Source organism: Homo sapiens, chromosome 18 (genome assembly GCF_000001405.40).
Source record: "Homo sapiens chromosome 18, GRCh38.p14 Primary Assembly".
NCBI lineage: Eukaryota > Metazoa > Chordata > Mammalia > Primates > Hominidae > Homo > Homo sapiens.
Window position 1 is genome coordinate 26,345,028 of NC_000018.10, and position 20,448 is coordinate 26,365,475.

General features: G+C 35.9%; 1 protein-coding gene and 1 pseudogene across 4 annotated transcripts in view; both read left to right on the plus strand.

Annotated features, from left to right (window-relative positions):
• TAF4B (TATA-box binding protein associated factor 4b) overlaps nucleotides 1-20,448 on the plus strand; it is a 165,241-nt gene that overhangs the window by 118,583 nt on the left and 26,210 nt on the right. For all 4 annotated transcript variants that reach the window (NR_121653.2, NM_001293725.2, XM_024451239.2 and 1 more), the window contains one exon: nucleotides 12,663-12,767. Coding sequence is in view for 3 of the 4 variants with exons in the window: in NM_001293725.2 (NP_001280654.1) it covers nucleotides 12,663-12,767 (105 nt within the window). In the remaining variant the exon portion in view is untranslated. The remainder of the gene's footprint in view (nucleotides 1-12,662; nucleotides 12,768-20,448) is intronic.
• On the plus strand, nucleotides 3,308-4,051 carry LOC100419894 (zinc finger protein 347 pseudogene; annotated as a pseudogene).

Genomic DNA, 20,448 nt, shown 5'->3' on the forward strand with positions numbered 1-20,448 from the left:
AGTCCTCAAAAGCCCTGAACCCAGTTTGGAGAGCTACCATGAATTCACACAGCTGCATTGCCCTGGATTAGGAACACCAAGATATGCCTGCTTGTACACAGCCCTCCAGTGTCCTACCCCCTACAGATAAGCTCCTGGTCTACCCAACAGCCCTGCACCCACAATCAGGGTCTGAAAAGCCGCTCCACTGGCAGCCACACTCCAAGGCCTGCTGAACAACTGTGAGCCCACATCTCGGGCCTGAGAGACCAAGCCATCCTCACCAGACATGTCTTTAGACCAGTCAGGCATCTGTGCACCTGTGTTTTTCGCAAAAGTAACAGCCCTGTGGGCTGCTCCTTGCAGGCATGTCCTCGGGCCGGCTGAGCAACCCTGTGTATGTCCTCCTGCCAAGAATAAGAGCCCTGTAGCCCAAATCCATGCACCAAGTTGGTGGACCCACCATTTGTATGTATATGCCTCTGACCTGAGAAACAGCCCAGTGAGCCCACACCCAGCAAAACTGCACCACCTCCACCACAAACTCAGCCCAGGCCACTGAGGCATTTGCATATGTCACTAGTATGGATTACAGCTGAAGAAACTACACTACTGTGTCCACCTAGAACTCAACAAACTGACACCCCAACACCTGTTCATATGAGTAAATTTTTCTCTGTGAAACCTCCTCCATAAAATTGGAAGAGGCGACTTTTCTACCACATGAATGGAAATCAGTGTAGGGATACATCAAACATGAAAAAACTACAGATAAATACCCATGAAAAGGAACACAATAATTTTCCAATAACAGAGGCTAATCATAAGGAAGTACATAAAATGCCAGAAAAAGAATTCAGAATAATAATCTTAAGTAAACTCTGTGAGATACAGAATACTGATGGACATTCAGTGAAATCAGGAAAACAATTCACAATTTGAATAGAGAAAATTTTATTTTTATTTGTCTTTTTTAGAGACAAGATTTTATTTACTCTGTCACCCAGGCTGGAGTGCAGTGTTTGGAGCATAGCTCACTGTAACTTTGAAGTTCTGGGCTCAAGCTATCCTCCCACCTCAGCCTCCTGAGTATCTGAGACTAGAAGCATGTGCCACCATGCCCAGCTAAGTGAATGAGAAATCTAATAATGAGATAGATATCGTAATAAAGAACCAAACAGAAATCCTACAGCTGTAGAATTCAGTGAATGAAATAAAAAATACAGTTGAGACCTTTAACAATACCCTACACCAAGCAGAAAAAAGAATTTTTGAACTTGAAGAGATTGAAGCAACACAGGCAGACCCCCCCTCCCCCCAAAAAAAGAATGAAGAAAGCTACAGGATTTATGGGACACCATGAAGCAAACAAATATTCACATTATGGGCATTCCGGAAGGAGAAAAGAAGTGAAAAGATGTAGAAAACATATTTAATGAAATAATAGCTGAAAATTTCTCAAGTATTTGGAGAGACACATCCAGGTTCAGGAAGCTGGAAGAACCCCAAGTAGATTCATCCCAAACAAGTCCTCTCCTAGGCACAGTATAGTCAAATTGTGAAGTCAAAGTCGATTCTAAAAGCAGCAAAAGAAAAATGTCAATTCACAAATAAAGGTATTCTTATCAGATTAACAGTAGATTTCTCAGCAGAAACTATACAGGCTAGGAGAGAATGGGATAATATATTCAAAATACTGAAAAGGAAAATTTTAAAAAACTGCTAGCCAAGAATATATATATATATATGTGTGTATATATATATATATGTGTGTGTATATATATATATATATGTGTATATATATATATATGTGTGTGTATATATATATATGTGTGTGTGTATATATATATATGTGTATATATATATATGTGTATATATATATATATATATATATGTGTGTGTATATATATATATATAGTTTTTTGTTGTTTTTTGACAGAGTCTTGCTCTGTCACCCAGGCTGGAGTGCAGTGGCATGATCTCGGCTCACTGCAACCTCCGCCTCCTGGGTTCATGCCATTCTCCTGCGTCAGCCTCCCAAGTAGCTGGGACTACAGGTGCCCACCACCAAGCCCAGCTAATGTTTTGTATTTTCAGTAGAGATGGGGTTTCACCATGTTAGCCAGGATGGTCTGGATCTCCTGACCTTGTGATCCGTCCGCCTCGGCCTCCCAAAGTGCTGGGATTACAGGCGTGAGCCACTGCGCCCGGCCCAGCCAAGAATATTATACCCAGCAAAACTATCCTTCAGAAATGAAGGAGAAATAAAATGTCTCACAATCAAAAATTAAGGGAATTCATCACCATTAGACAAGGCCTACAAGAGATACTCAAGGGAGTTTTACATTTGAAAGTGAAAAAATGACAACCACCATCATGAAAGGATGTGAAGCTATAAAACTCACTGGTAGAACCAATACAGAAAAGAGAAATAGAAAGGAATCAAACAAATTTTTCTTTACAGGAAAAGATCCACCTACACAAATACTAAAAGATGAAGAAAGGAACAATGAATATAGAAAACAACCAGAAAACAATCAATAAAATGATAGTAATAAGTCCACACCTATCAGTAATAATCCTGTGTGTAAACAGATTAAGTTCCCCATTTAAAAGATACAGACTAGCCAAATGGTTAAATAAAACAAGACTCAACTGTATACTGCCGACAGTAAATTCACTTCAGCTGTAAAGACACACATAGACTGAAAGTGAAGAATAGAAAAAGACATTTCCACAAACAGCAACCAAAAGCTAGCAGGAGTAGCTATACTTACATAAGACAAAACAGACTTCAAGACAAAATGGTAAAGAAACAAAGACATTATACAATAAGGGATTAATTTGGCAAGAACATATAACAATTGTGAATATATATGTGTACCCAACACTGGACCACTCAGATATATAAAGTAAATATTATTAGATCTAAAGGGAAAGATAGATCCCAATACAGTAATAGTTGGAGACTTCAACACTCCATTCTTAACATTGGACAGATCATGTAGACAGAAAATCAACGAAGAAACATTGGATTTAAACTGTACTGTAGACCAACTGGACCTAGCAGGCATTTATGGAACATTTCACCCAACAGCTGCAGAATACATATTCTTTCCAGAAGTACATGGAACATTTTCCAGTATTGACCATATGTTAGGACATAAAACAAGCCTCAAACATTTTAAAATATCAAAATCATATCCTAAGTATCTTACCTGACCACCATGGAATAAAAGTAGAAATCAATAATAAGAGGAATATTAAAAACTGTGCAATTAAACAGCAGTCTCCTGGACAACCAATGGGTGAAGGGAAAAATTGTCCAAGCCTTACTAACCATCAGGTAATCCATATTGGAGAGAAACCTTATGAATAGAATGAATGTGACAAGGTCTCTGGTTATCTCATATCTTTGAAAGGCATCTGAGAAATCACACTGGAGAGAAGGCTTACAGATGTAGTAACTGTGGCAAAGCCTTTACTGAGTGTGCAAGCCATACTAAACATCATGTAATCCATCTGGAGAGAAACCTTACAAATGTAGTGACTGTGGGAAATTTTGTCTACTGTAGTCATACCTCCATCCATACTGGAGAGACACCTTACAAATGTAATAAGTGTGTCAGTGCCTTTAGTGAGCATTCAAGCATTACTAAATATCAGGTAATCCATAAGGGAGAGAAACCTTACAAATATAATGAAAGTGATAAGTCCTTGTCTTGGCAACCAGACTTCACCAGACATCAGATAATCCATACTGAAGAGAAACCTTACAACTGCAATGAATGTGGCAAGATCTTCAGTCAAAATTTACACCATGCACAACATCAGAGAACTTACACTTGAGAGAAAGCTTCTGAATGCAATGAGTTTGGTAAATCCTTAATCATTTGTTTAAGCATTAATCTACCTCAGAGCGGCCATACTAAAGAGAAACCCCATAACTGTAATATATGTGGCAGTGGCTTCTTCCAGGCCTCAAAACTCTAGGCACCTATATATATGTCTTTGAATTAACCAAATAAACAATGTGCATGCTAAGACCTTGACCCAAGGATCAAAACTGTTTAATAACAAAGGATTTTTTTAAAAATAAATTCAACTTTAATTTTAGATTCAGGTGTACACATACAGGTTTGTAACATGATTATATTGCATTATGCTGAAGTTTGGGGTACGATTGATCCCAGCTTCCAGGTAGTGAGCATAGTACCCAGTAGTTAGTTTTTCAACAGTTTTTCCTCTGTTCCTTCTTCTTTCCCCTTCCGAAAGTCCCCAGTGTCTATTGTTGCCGTCTCAAAGGATTCTTATTGACTACCAATGCAATAAATGCATACAGCTCTTTATTTAAAAAAAAAGAATCAGTAGTATTCCTTACCTAATGAACTAGCTGAAAAAACAAAATCAAGAAGGCAATCCCAGTTAAAATCCCTGCCAAACAAACAAACAAACAAACAAACAAAACCACCTGGAAATAATTTAACCCAGGAGATGAAGGAACTCTGCAAGGAAAATTATAAAACGCTAATGAAAGAAACTGAAGAAGATACAAGCAAATGTACAAACATCTCATGCTCATGGATCAGAAGAATTAATATTGTTACAATGACCATACTAGCCAAAGCAATCAACAGAGTCAATGCAATCTCTGTCAAAATACCAAGGACATTCTTCACAGAAATAGGAAAAGTAAATTTGAAAATTCATATGGAACTGCAAAAGACCTCAAATAGCCAAAGCCATCCTGAGCAAAAAGAACAAAGCTGGAGGCATGACACTACTGGACTTCAAAATATGCTTCAAAACTGTAGTCACCGAAATAGCATGTGACTGGCATAAAAACAAAAACATAAACATAGACCAACGGAACAGAATAGGGAATCCAGAAGTTAATCAAGGTGTCTACAGCCAACATATTTTTTGACAAAGGTGCCAGGAACATATACCAGGGAAAGCATGTTCTCCTCAAAAAATAAGGTGCTGGGAAAGCGGGCATCCATATGCAGAAGAATAAATGTACACCTCCACCTCTTACCCTATTAAAAAGTCAAATGGTTCAGAGATCTAAGTGTAAAACCTGAAACTATAAAGCTACTAGAAGAAAACGGAGGAAATGCTTCAGGACATACTTTATGTCAGGAAAATATTTTATGAATAAGACGTCAAAAGCGCCTGTAACAAAAGCAAAAATAAATGGGATTATATTAAATGAAAAACTTTTGCATAGCAAAGGAAACAATCCACAGAGTAAAAAAAATAAGACTACAGAATGGGGGGAAATATTTGCAAACTATTCATCTGATAGTGGATTAATATCCAGAATATACAAATAGGCATCTCAACAGCAAAAAAATCAGTCTGATTAACAGATTGGCAAATGAGCCAGGTGTAATGGCTTATGCCTATACTCTCAACACTTGGGAAGGAAGATGTAGGAGGATCACTTGGGGCCAGGAATTTGAGATCAGCCTGGGCAACATAGAGACCCCGTCTCTACAAAAAATTTAAAACTGAAGGTTAGCCAGGTATGGTGGCATAGGCCTGTAGTCCTAGCTGCTTGGGAGGCCGAAGTAGTGTGATCACTTGAGCCCAGGAGATTGAGGCTGCTGTGAGCCATGATCATGGTACTACATACTATCATGGGTAATAGAGTGAGACCCTGTTTCTAGAAAAAGAAAATTAAAAACAAACAAATGGGCAAATGATCAGAATGGACATTTCTCAAAAGAAGACATGCAAACAGCCAACAGGTATGGGAAGAAATGTTCTATGTCACTAATCATCAGAGAAATGAAAATTAAAACCACAACTAGATATCATTCGACCCCAGTGAAGATGGCTATTACCAAAAAGACAAAAAATGAGTAATGTTATCGAGGATTCAGGGAAAATGGAATTCTTAAACACTGTCAGTGAAAATGTAAACTAGTATAGCCACTGTGAAGAATGGCATGGAGATTCCTCTTAAAATTACAAATAGAACTACTGTATGATCCAGCAATCCCAGTACTGAGAAAAGAAATCAGTATATCACAGAGACATCTGTACCCCCTTGTTCATTTCAGCACTATACATGTTAATAATTGCTGATATGTGGAATCAACCCAGGTGTTCAACAACAGATGAATGGATAAAGAAAATGTGCTATATATACACAGTGGAATACTATACAGCCATAAAAAAGAATGAAATCTTGTCATTTATGATAACATGGATGGAAACTGGAGGACTTATGTTAAGTAAAGTATTCCAGGAAAAAAAAAGTTAAACACTGTTTTCACTGATCTGTGAAAGCTAAAACAAAGTTGGTCTCATAGAAGTAAAAAGGAGAACAGAGAATAGTAGAGGATGGAAAGGGTCTGGGGGAAAAGGGGATAGGGAAAGATTTGTTAAAGGATACAAAATTACAGCTAGATAGGAGAAGTAAGTTCTATAGCACTGTAGGATGACTATAGTTAATAATGCATAGTTTCAAGTAGCTACAAGGAGGCTAGTGAATGTTCTTAACATAAAAGTATGATAAATATCTGAGATGATGGGTATACTAATTATCCTCATCTGATCACTGTGTATGTATTGCAACATCACTAAGTACCCATAAATATGTACAATTATATGTCAGACTTCATAAAAATTAATATTCAATAATCAGTTATAGTTTTAAACACCAGCAACAAACAGAAAATAAATAAGATATTAAAGGATCATAAATCTAACATGCAAATAAAGGTTTAATGAAATATATATGACTGATGTAAAAAATGATGATTGGTGAAATTCATTAAGGATAAATTGAGATTTACCATATGCATGGATTAGAAAAATTAACACCAGCGATTTTCACTGTATGTATGTGTAATATATAAGACAACTACAGCAAAATGTGGAGGATAAAGAGCCATATATATGGCCAAGGTTTTTCTATTCCACTTGAAGTGGTAAAATATTGATGCTGAGCAGATTGAAAATTTAAGTATGTATATTGTAATCCCTAGAGCCGTCACTAAAAATTAATATAAAACATTTAGAGTTACTACAAAATGCAGTAGATAAATTAAAATGTTAAAAAGTTCAAATAATTCCAAGTAGAAAAAGGGAAACAGAGAAATGAAAAACAGAGGGAACATACAGAAAACAAAATGATAGACCTTAATCTAATCATAATTATTACATGAAGTGTAAATGATTCAAATATACCATTTCAAAGATAGAGACTCTCAGGATGGATTAAAAATCTGTAATGGAACTATATCTTTAAGCAACTCAAATCACAGGTAATGATATAGGTAAGCTAAAGTAACAAGATAGGAGAAAATGCTTACATTAGAAAAGAAGAAAGGCCTCAAATCAATAAATTAAACTTCTTCCTTGAGAAATTGGAATAGGAAGAGCAATATAGATCCAAAGCAAGCAGAAGGAAGCACATATCTTTGAGTACTAATCAATGACTTTGGAAAAAAGTTCCCAGAAGCTGGTTCTTTGATCAACAACATCGAGAACTTTTCATAAGACTGAGAAAGGAAAAAACAAAGAAGAGAAATCACTAATATTGCTCTGTTGCCCAGGCTGTAATGCAGTGGTGAGATCTCAGCTCACTGCAACCTCTGCCTCTTGGACTCATGGGATCTTACCCCCAGATGCCATCCTCCAGAGTTAGGATCCCATAAGCCCAGGAGGTGAAGGTTGCAGTAAGATGAGATCGCATCACTGCACTCCAGCCTAGACAACAGAGTGAGACCCTGTCTCCCCGCCACACCCCTCTCTCCAAAAGCAAATATAACAAATAACTGTGCATAAGTTTGGCAACTTAGATAGATTAAATGACCAATACCTCGAAAAGCACAAACTATCAAAACTTACCCAAGATGATATGGTTCTCTAATCTTTATTTTTTTAGTTCTGTAATTATTAAACAAATTGAATTTGTAATTAAAACCTTCTAAGAGAGATACCAGAACAGATTTTTAGTAAATTCTACCAAAGATTTACAGAAGAATTAATACCACTTCTACACAGCCTCTTCCAGACAATAGAAGAGATAGAAACACTTCCAGTTCATTTTATGAGGCCATTGTTGCCCTAATAGTTAAACCCACAAAGATGTTACAAAACAAGAAAACTACAGGCTAATATCTCTTATGAACATAGATATAAACATCCCAAACAAAATGTTAGCAAATCAAATCTACTTTAGATTTGATATAAAAAGAATGTATTGATCTTGACATATGAAAGAATAATATACCATGACTATGTATATTATACTCTAGAAATGAAAAGTTGCTTTAATATTTGAAAATCAGTCAATATAATCATATATTAATAGTCTAAGAAACACCATGTGATCCTATCAATTAATTTAGAAATATGTTTGATAAAATTTAAAATCCATTAATGATTAAAAACTCTCAGGAATCTAAGAATAGAAGAGACTTCCTTGGCTGGGCATGATGGCTCATGCCTGTAATCCCGGCACTTTGGGAGGCCAAGGCCGGTGGATAGCTTGAGACCAGGAATTCAAGACCAGCCTGGGCAACATAGCGAGATTCCTGTCTCTCTTAAAGTAAGAAATTTTAAAAATGAAGAGACTTCCTGAGGCTGATAAAGGATAGCTTTAAAAACCCTCCTAATATCGTTTTTAATGGTGACTGAATGCTTTCTTCCAATGATTAGGAAAAAGGCAAAGAAACTTGCTTTTACCAGTATTATTCAGCATTATAGTTTAAGTCCTTATCAGTACAATGAAGCAGGAAAGACAAATAGATTGGAGACATGGAAATAAAGTAGCTTGTCCTTTAATTCTTTTAAGTGTGTCTTCCATAGAGCAAAAGTTTTAATTTTGATGCAGTCCAATTTGCCAATTTTTTCTCTTATAGATATGCATTAGGTGTCATGTTCAAGGACTCTTTGCTGGACTCCAAGTCATGTTCTCCTATGGTTTTTTCCTATACATTTTTATAGTTTTACATTTATATTTTGATTAATTTTTTTATAAGGTGTGAGGTTTGGATCCAGATTGATTTTTAAAAAATTTTTGCACGTGGATGTTCAGTTGTTCCAACAACATTTGATGTTTGTTTGTTTGAGATAGAATCTCACTCTGTTGCCCAAGCTGGAGTGCAGTGGCATGATCTCGGCTGACTGCAGCCTCCGCTTTTGGGTTCAAGCAATTCTCCTGCCTCAGCCTCCCAAGTAGCTGGGATTACAGGCGTCCCCACCATGCCCAGCTACTTTTTGTATTTTTAGTAGAGACGGGGTTTCACCCTGTTGGCCAGGCTGGTGCGAACTCCTGACCTCAAGTGATCTGCCCACCTTGAACTCTCAAAATACTGGGATTACAGGTTTGAGCACAGCACCCAGCCCCACAACTTTTGTGTAAAAGACTGCCAGACACTAAAGTGGTAAGAATAGACTTTAATCAGCTCCTGCCTTTCCATAGAGGCTGGAAGATGGGGCCTTATCATCAGATGTTGGATGGAACAAATAGTAAATTATTCTAGCAGTCTTGAGTTTTTTCAGTTAGGCTCTTTAAGGAAGTTAAGGCCATCCTATGGCTTGAGCTGTTAGAAACTGTGTTAATGTTTTTTAGGCCAAGGTTCAGGCCTGGTTGATAAGAGGGCTCAGAAGTTTGGTCAAGGAGAGAATTTTTGTCATTTCTCAACTGCATTCCTTTCTAACCTGGCCAAAAATCAATTGGCCGTATTTATATGCATCTTATTTGTGGATTCTCTGTTTTGTTCTGTTAACCTATGTGTCTGTCCCTTTACCAGTATTACATTATTTTGATTACTGTAGCCTTATAAGAAGTCTTAAAATTGCATGGTATGATTCTTCCAATTTTGTCCTTCTTAAAATAATGGTTGTTGTAGCTATTCTAGTTCATTTTTCTTTCCATATAAACTTTAGAATCAACTTATCCATATCCACAACAAAATTTTATTAGAATTGTGTTAAGTCTGTGGATGAATTTGGAGGGAATTGAAATCTTTGTTGAGTCTTACAAGCCTGGACACAGCATGTCTCTCCATTTGTTTATTTATTTTTTTATTTCTTTCATAGGCATTTTGTGATTTATAGTGTAGAAATACCTGTATGTGTTAGATTTATATCTCAGTATTTCATTTGGGAGAGAGCAATTATAAATGACATTTAAAAATTTTAAGTTTCCAATTGTACCTTAATGATATTTAGGACTCACTTATTGCATGTGTCAACCTTGCATCTTGTAATATTGCTAAACTCACTTATCAGTCTTAGGAGGATTTTTTTTATATATAGATAACTTGGGGTTTTCTGCACAGATAATCGTATCATTTGCCATCCTGTTTCCACAGGCAAGCCTCTAACTCAGTGGCCATTTTTATTGAACTGAGGTTACTTATTGTAGTCTTTATCCTCGATAAATGCCAGATTTGCATTAATGCTCAGAACTTCCTCCTTTTCTGGTTAAAAGTACCTGGTTTTACTGTTTTGTGCTTGTCAAGATGCATTGGTTTTGAGAAAGCTTGTTATAAATACAGGGCCAATGAAAACTATGGTCAGTTTCCATTTTTGTTAGATTTTTGTGAAATTTTCTAAAATTTTGTGTGAGAGACTTCAGAAAACCAAAGTATAATTTGCAGAATGGGAGAAAATGTTACACTACACATAGGGAATTTGAAGACAGTGGTCAGTTTAAAAACCTTTTATTTGGTTTGACTATCTTGCAGATGCCATTTCTCTACAGGGAAGGACTTTAAAATATAGCTTGTTGTTTGATTTGTACTGCAGGGTAGATTAACTAAAATCATTATTTTGTCACCTAGAAGTTCTGAATTGTGGCAGCATTAGACTCTAAAACTATATTTTTTATTAAAAAGGCCAGCAGCAACAAGAGATATTTTATAACTTCTGAAAACACTTTTCTAACAATTTATTTGTAAGTAAACACACAGTTTAAAAGGATTTCTGTCCTATAATTTGTGAAGCAAGTGGAAAATGGTTCTTAGTTCATTTTCTTTAATTAATTGTTGTCTTAGTTCATTTGGGCTGCTATAATGAAATATCTTAGACTGGGTAGCTTATACACAACAGAATTTTATTTCTCACAGTTATAGAGGCTAGGAAGTCCAAGATCAAGGTGCCAGCAGATTTGGTGTCTGGTTAGAGCCTACTTGCGCACTATGTTCTCACTTGGTGGAAGGGGCGAGGGGTTTCTCTTAAGTCTCTTTTATAAGGGCACTAAGTCTCCACCCTCATGACTTAATCACCTCCCAGAGGCCCCATCTCCTAATAACAGTCACCCTGGGTGTTAGGATTTCAACATTAGAAGTTTGGAGGGATACAGACGTTCAGAACATAGCAATTATTTTCTGCTTTACTAAAGATTCAGTTACCTATTCAGTTATTCATTCTTTTCCCTAATATTAAAATAATCTGAAGTAATCTTAAAGTGGAATTTATGTACTTGGTATATCCTTAAGACTGACCGTTTCACCACAGACTACTTTTTGTTTTCAACCTGCTCTATTTTTAAACATGTGTTAAAAGATTTTGGTTAGTACTCTTTTGAAAGAATATTCTCAGTACATGTATAGGGTTTCTCAACAGGTTACTTTCAGTTGACTGTCTTGATCTTGTTTGAATATGTGACTGTCAACCAGCCCCAGATTCTTTCCTCTTTTCCCTCCATAGTATTAATATTAATAATAAGATTTTGATGGGAATTGAACATTATTCTTCTCTTCTGAAAAAGCTTAGGGATTTATCTAGTGGTGTTCTATTTTGACTTTCTCACTTGGTGTTTTTTTTTTTTTTTTTAAACAGAATACCTAATTTGACACTTAGTTGCCTCAATGAAATAATGCAGTTTCTGCCTTTTAATAGGACATCTTTCATGCATACCCCTGTATAGTTTTGCCCACATAAAAAAAAATTATACCCTGTAGATTTGGGCATTCTTGATTAAGTATGACGAAAGCTGTACAACAAAACAGTACTAAATCACTTTAGAATTTTGCCATGAATATTATAGAGTAAATCTAAGACTTTTATTTGCAAATGAGAAAGTGTGATGTACTAAAGAGGTTTTTAATGAGAGCATTTTGCTCCACATGCTGTCTCCACTGCTTACTATTTGTGTGGTGCCTTTTATGAAGTTGCCCTAACCTCTTAGAGCCTTACTGTCTCCATTAATAAAAAGAGGATGATGTATAATTTTTATATTATAGCAATCACCTTTCAATATGGTTGTGAGAATTAAGAAAGTGCTTTGTAAATTATATAGCATAGTAGAACTGTGTGCAATAATGTACAAAAACTGTCTTTATTTTAAAGTGAATTTAATCTGAAATGGTTTACTATAGTTTGACCAATCTCTCTCTGACTTACTGTTCAACTTAATCCTTCAGGCATTTCTTATCTGTGTTATACTGGGAGAAATTAAGCTTTAGATGCCTTTCTTCTTTTCTGTACTTCTCCTTTACCTGAGTTCTGCCTCTTCCATATAGAGATTAAGAACTAAAGAGTTTGTTGGTGTAAAAGAATCAGAAAATGTGCCCTTGGCTGTTATGGGAATCTAATGTTTATTTTATATTGTAACTTTATTTGGTGAATGCAGAATTAGGCTTAGTAATCAGTTTCTTTTTCCCTCTGAGCATGAATGTGTATAAACATTGATATTTTTTTCTTCCGTCTTCTAGTTACAGCAATTGGAACTTGCACAGATACAGCATAGAGACGCTAATCTCACAGCTCTTGCAGCTATTGGACCAAGGAAGAAGAGACCACTAGAATCTGGAATTGAGGTATTGAAATAATATTCATTATTTTATTTTTAATGTCAAGAAAGCAAGCCAAAAAGAAGCAAAGACTTAAAAATAGTTTACCCTGTTATGCACGCTGTTGCTGCCAGACACTTCTTAAAATTCATCTTTGCCAATTTTATAAAATCTTAATTTTTGCCAGGTTTTAAAGATGTTTATCACCTTGAACTTGTTACTTATTTCATACTACTTGTTACTTATTTCATACTTTTTCTTTCCCCCATCTCCAGTCATATTGAATCTTCCAGTATTTAAATTTTTTATTTCTGTACATTGTTTCTAGTGTTTTTATGCAGTCCTGTTCCCTCTGTCTAAATCTGGCTAATCTTGTAAGACCGAATCTGCCCTCTTACTTCTTTCATAAACCCTGACTATTCATTCCCATACCAGCTTCTCTTTTTCTGAGTATATGTGTTTGCATGGCATTGTTTCCTTGTATGAACATTTTCTCTTCTGTTAGATTATAAACTTTTTGAGCAAGGACTATAATAATAGTCTTTTGTATTCCCCCATAGAATAGGCACATGTATACTCAATAAATGACCTTAATTGTTTGGTTAACACCAAGAAAGGATCTTACTTACATCTTCAGAGTAATTATTTAAGATAATATTAGGGCCGGGCGAGGTGGCTCACGCCTGTAATCCCAGCACTTTGGGAGGCCAAGGCGGGCGGATCACAAGGTCAGGAGATCGAGACCATCCTGTTTAACACGGTGAAAACCTGTCTCTACTAAAAATATAAAAAATTAGCCGAACGTGGTGGCGGGCACCTGTAGTCCCAGCTACTCGGGAGGCTGAGGCAGGAGAATGGCGTGAACCCGGAAGGCGGAGGTTACAGTTTGCCAAGATCGCGCCACTGCACTCCAGCCTGGGCGACAGAGCGAGACTCCGTCTCAAAAAAATAAAATAAAAAAAAGATAATATTAGCCTTTTGGCTTTAGGAGCAATCATTAGGGCTGAGATAGAGGTATGCTAAGGGCTCTGAGATAAGGTCAGCAATAAAAGAGCCATAGCTCATCTTATACTTCTCTATAGAATTTAAATCTACTTTGAGGCAAACTTCCTACCATTGTTGATCCTGAACATTGGTAGTTTCTAAATGAACGCCACTCACCTTAATAGATGAAAGATTTAAAAATTCTAGTTCTTTTTCATTTTAAATGTAACATATGAAATATTCTCCCCCTCTCCTGCCCAACCAGATGTAACCACTGTTAAGTTTTTCACATATCCTTCCAGGATATATGTGGGCACATATATGACATGCATTCACAAATCTACATGTGTGGTTTTGTTTTTAGTTAAATATGATCAAACTGTACCTATTATTATGCCCTTAATATTTTCCTCATTTCCACAGTCTACCTCATATAATTTACTTCCATACTTTTTAAGGGTGTATGACATTACTGTATTTAAGTAAACCATAATTTATTCAACCAACCCTCCAATGGACATTTAGGTTGTTTCCAGGTTTTTGCCTTTATTGCCTCAGATAACATTTTTGCACTTATATTGTTGTGTGCTTGTACAATGTAAGTACAGGCAAAATTCATAGAAATGGAATTCCTGACTTAAAGGGTATGAACATTAGGAAAACTCTATGGGAAAAAATTCAAATATATACAAAGGCGGAGAGAGCAGTATAATCAACCCTCATATGGTTGTGAAAGTTAAGAAAGGGCTTTGTAAATTATATAGCATAGTAGAACTGTGTCCTGTATAATGTACAAAAAACTGCCTTTATTTTAAAGTAATTTTCTTTATATCTGAAATGGTTGACTGTAGCTTGACCAATTTCTCTCATACTATTCAACTTATTCTTCAGGTATTTCTTATCTGTGCTTATACTGTTATATAGCACCGCCCTGCTCCAGCGACCGTCAATTTAATTTTATTTATTTACCTATTTGTTTGTTTATGTAGAGATAGGTCTTGCTCTGTCACCCAGGATGGAGTGGCACAATCTTGGCTCACTGCAGCCTCAACTTCCTGGGCTCAAGCAATCCTGTCACCTCTTACCCACCCGAGTAGCTGAGCTACAGGCACACACCACCATGCCTGGCTAATTTTTTTTTTTTTTGGTAGAGACGGAGTTTTGCCATGTTGCCCAGCTTGGTCTCGAACTTCTGAGCTCAAGCAGTTCACCTGCCTTGGCCTCCCAAAGTGCTAGGATTGCAGGTGTAAGCCACCTCACCTGGACAGGACCATCAATATATGCTTAATCTTGTTTCATTTATATTTGCACCAACTTTCTTAGGTTAAAATTTTCATCCCTCAGATTATTTTAAAGTCGTTCCCACACTCAGTATTATTTAATACATAAATATTATTTGTTGCTCATGATTTTTATTAACAATTTAAAAATTACCCTCTAAGTTGTATCAGTTTTCATATTCATTAGTGTGCCTATCTCACCACACTCACATTAACACTGGGAACTATCTTTGCCATCTCATGACTGAAAATGCAAGTTTTAATAGAGTGTTTAAGTTATGAGTAAGTTGAGCAACTTTTCATGTATAAATAGGCATTTTCAATTTTTCTTTTTCCCATGGAGTTACATTTTTCAATCCATTAAGGAAATAGAACAACCCATTTTCCCTAGCCCCATTTTCTTTCAGTTTGTCTGGGCTTTATTCATCTAAAAGTTTTTATTTTTCCTTTAAAAAATGCCACAGTCTTTCATTTTTATTTTTGTCTTTTGGGTTTATATTCTATTTAGAAGGCCCTTTCTTAATTAGAATTATGTGTTACTACTTTGATCATTTCACTTTTTAAGCATAAATCTTTGATTCGTACCGAACTTGAGTAAGAGTTGACGTGTGTATTTAGCTTTAGTCCCTCAGTCCTCTCTCATTCTCCCTTAGGCTAGATAATTGTCCCAACACCATTTACTCAGTAATTCTTTCCCTGCTGATTTTAAATGCTACCTTTATCACACACAACTGTATATCAAAAATACAAATTCTTGTATGTATTTGGGTCTGTTTCTGTACACTCTGAACCAGTGTTATCTAATAGAACTTTGTATGGTTTTGAAAATATTTGTGTCTGCAGTGTCCTGAATAGCCACATATGGCTGTCGAGATCTTGAAATGTGGCTAGTGTGACTAAAATAAATTTTTAATTTTTTTAGTTTAATACAAATTTTAATAGTCATATGCTGCTAGTGGCCACTATATTGGGCAGCACTGCAGGACTGCCCAATATAGTAGCCCAATATAGTTCTATTTATGACTATTTACATATTAGTATCAAACCTTTTTTTTAACCATCTTATTTTTACGTGTATAATTAAGTAGTGTTAAACACATTCACGTTGTTGAAAAAACCTCCAAAACCTTTTCATCTTGTAAAACTAAAATTCTATACCCGGTAAACAATTCTCCATTTCTGTGCCAGCCCCTAGTAACCATAATTCTACTTTCTGTTTCTATGAGTTTGACTACTTAAGTACCTCAGATTAATTTTAATTTTTTTTTTTTTTTTAGAGACAAGGGTCTCACTATGTTGCCCAGGCTGGCCTTGAACTCCTGGCCTCAAGCAGTCCTCCCACTTCTGCCTCCCAGAGTGCTGGGATTATAGGCATGAGCCACACTCTTGGCCCCAAATCTTAATATAATATGTTTGAAATTATGGAAAAACTGGCCAGGCATGATGGCTCACACCTGTAATCCCAGCACATTGGGAGGCTGAGGTGGGCAGATTGCTTGAGGTCAGGAGTTCGAGACCAGCCTAGCCAACATGTGAAACCCCGTCTCTACTAAAAATACAAAAATTAGCTGGGCGTGGTGTCATGTGCCTGTAATCCTAGCTACGTGGGGGGTTGAGGCAGGAGAATCACTTGAACCCGGGAGGCGGAGGTTGCTGTGAGCCGAGATCGCGCCACTCCCCTCCAGCCTGAGCAACAGAGTGAGACTCCGTCTCAAAAAAAAAAAAAAAAAAAAAGTATGGAAAAATTAGTTCAGCATAGAATTTATCTTTCTGCTAGAAACAACTCTACTGAGTTGTTCTAGTACAGGACAACTCACTGCTCTTTGTTTTTGGTCCATTTGTATATGATATGTGTAAATATTTTATTTAAATTGGGGTGTGCTATTTCATCATTAAGTATATTCCTATAAATATGCTTTGTTAGCATACATTTTATTTTGTGGCAAGAGTAGTTACTTGTAACTTTTAATTCCTTTGAGAATGTGTTATAGGCATGTCTAAGTTCCTGACTTTTCTACTACAGTAACATTATACAACAAATTATGTTAAATGTTTGCTTTGTGAGAAATCATCAGAGCACATGGGATAAGTATATGTGCTTTAGACTCAGAAAAATCTGGGTTTGCTTCTTGACTCTGTTAAGCTTTGTAACCTTGGATGAGTTCTTTAAACCCCATACCTCAATTATCCCCACCTGTAAAATGGGCATATTGCCTGTCTTATGTTTTAAGGATTGGTTTATGTGAAGTACTTAATTAGTGTCTGGTCTCAAGTAAGTGCTTAATGAATTGTCATATTTGTAATCATAGTAATAATTCCATGATTTTGGCTTTTAATAGTATTTTATCAGTAGCATTAATGGCCCATAGTGAATTTGCAATGTTAATCATTAATCTCTCCTGAGCATCAATTCTTATTCTCCTTTGAATTTGTCACAAATTTTAGAGAATACTTTCTAATTTATAATAAACAGATTTTTAGGTGTTTTTATTTATTATATGTTTGAATCTGAGAAAATCCATTGGTTAGGGAGAAAACCGAATGTGCTGTTTGTGTTCAAAACAATGATAAAAACCATTATGTGATTTATCTACAATAAAATGCAAAATTATTTAATTTTTAGTTTCAAAACAGATGTTTACTAACTTGGATATAAATATATTGAATTGTCTGTCACTTGGTGCTTCTTTAGTTTTGAGAACTCAGGCATGCATATTTTCCCCTGTACTTCCTGTACTTTAAGCTGAGATAATAGTCATATAATCAGTCCTTTGGATCTGTGGGTTCTGTCCACATCTGTGTATTCAGCCAACTGCAGATCAAAATTATTCGGAGGAAAAAACATCACATAATAAAAAATAACACTACAACAATTAAAAACTATACTAAATTTAAAAATACAGTATTACACTATTTATATAGCATTTACATTGTATTATGTAGTATAAGTAATCCAGAGGTGATTTCAAGTATACAGGAAGATATGCGTAGGTTACATGCAAATACTATGCCATTTTATATCAGGGACTTGAGCGTCTTTGGTTTTTGCTATCTATATCTTGGTGCCAGTCCCCCGAGGATACCAAGGGATGACTATAATGTCAATTTGAATTGAAAATATCTATTTCTTTAATCAGCTGGTGACATTTTTAGTACAATTATTATTTTGAAATTTGCTGAACACTAGTTTCCTTGTTGTTGATTTTTATTCATGGTGTTTTAACTTTAAAGGCATTTTTGTTTTCAAAATGAGAGACAGGCTGGGTGCAGTGGCTCCAGCCTGTAATCCCAGCATTTTGAGAGGCTGAGGAGTGTGGGTCACAAAACCCTGTCTCTACCAAAAAAAAAAAAAAAAAAAAAAAAAAAAGGCAGCGCGTGGTGGTGTGCGCCTGTAGTTCCAGCAACTTGGAGGGCTTAGGAGGGAGGATAGCTTGGCCCAGGAGGTCAAGGCTGCAGTGAGCTGTGATCAGGCCACTGCACTCCAGCCTGGGTGACACAGTAAGACCCTGCCTAAGAAAAAAATAAAAGAAAAAAGGAGAGAGAGGAGAGAGCCCTATTGCATGCTCCTTCAATGTTTAGGTATACTGCTGATTTGCATTAGTTACAATTGTTAGAAACCTTTATTCACTTGCTTTATTTCTTCACAAATAACACAAAAATGATGTATGAAACCATTTTTACTTTCAATATTCTGTACTCTGGAAACAAAGCCTTTACTTTTTGTTTGCTTCTTTATCGATGGGAACCTGAAATCTTAACATGTTTGAGTTAAATTTTTTAGAATCAGCATATAATCCCAGAGAGAAGTGGGAGTAGAATCTAGTTCTTCAGAGGGTAACTCTTTAGTTTGAATGCAGGTTTTTTCCTACTAAAAGGGAGCACTCTCAGTTGGGAAGATTGAATAGAATGATGGTAGTTTTTAAAAAAATGTAACATTCAAAAACATAGCACTTTAACATTCGAAGATTACCTTTATTGTTGCTAAGAAATTGGAGAAATTAGTTTTAGACCTTTGTCCTTGAGTATTTTTTGTTATGATAAAGCAAAACTTTTCTCATTAAATATGATCTATTTGTATAATTTATATATTAACCTAGCCTTTGGAAATTTACACTTGATATTCTCTGAAGTCTTGGTAAAATTGAATAGCATCAGCTGCTATCTCCTTATGTTATCCTGACAAAGAGCAGCAAGTACCAATTACAATTTTGAATAAGATATTTATACCATAAGCTTATTGGCTAGTGGGTCGCAGGAGGGTGGAAAAATAGTTAAAATGTACTATTTGGGAGTACTTTGAAATGTGTCCTTTCCTTTTGCTGCTGTGGTTTGAAGTTATATATATGAAATTAGTTTTTAAATTAATGTAGGCCGTACAGATATTGATACAGTAAAATAAAACCTACTTTAAGATTTAGAGTATTTGTATGTGTGTATTGTTTATATGTATTGTATCGGTGATGTGTTTGGGGTTCTTTGGAATTTTAAAACATTAATCACTTTACTTCCTGTGTTAATTAGAGATCCTTGGATTAGAAAGATTCTCTTTTCCCCCATTAGCTATACTTTCAAATATTTTGCATGCCTTATTAATGATCCAGCAACGTTTTTTTTTAGCACAAAGATAAGTTACATTTTAACCTTACATAATAACATGTCTAAAAAATTATACAAAATCAATTTTTGGAGCTATGAAAGTATTAAGGAATTTCAGCATACTATTTTACTTTGAATGCTTTTTTACTAACATAAATAAATGAAGCTTCCTAAGATCGTGTAATTCAGTTGATTTCATAATGCTGATATTTCTGTAACAATCAGGTTTACAGCACCAGATTAGCTACATGGTGCTTATAGTATCATTTTAGTTAAAATAGAATTTGCTAACCAAAATAAAGAAATTGCAATATGTATTAGTATATGTCCTCTCCTTCTAGAAGCAGGTTAAAGTGCTACTCTATAATTCTATTCTTTTTTTTTTTTTTTTTTTTTTGAGATAGAGTCTCGCTTTGGCACCCAGGCGGGAGTGCAGTGTCGTAATCTCGGCTCACTGCAACCTCCACCTCCTGGATTCAAGCGATTCTCCTGCCTCCGCCTCCCAGGTAGCTGGAACTACAGGCGCATGCCACCACACCCAGCTAATTTTTGTATTTTTAGTACAGATGGGATTTCACTATGTTGGCCAGGCTGGTCTTGAACTCCTGACCTCAGGTGATCTGCCCTCCTCAGCCTCCCAAAGTGCTGGGATTACAGACGTGAGCCACCGCACCTGGCCTATAATTCTGTTCTTGAGGATAAAAGTAGAAAGGACTTTTTTGAAACTTCAGTTAGCAATACATTAGAATATTTGATTGAAAATCAGAATTACATGAATCTGATTTTCAGCAGGCAGCAGAAGCTTCCGGCTTGTAGCCAAAAAGAAAGTCTGGAAAGCTAGATGGGAG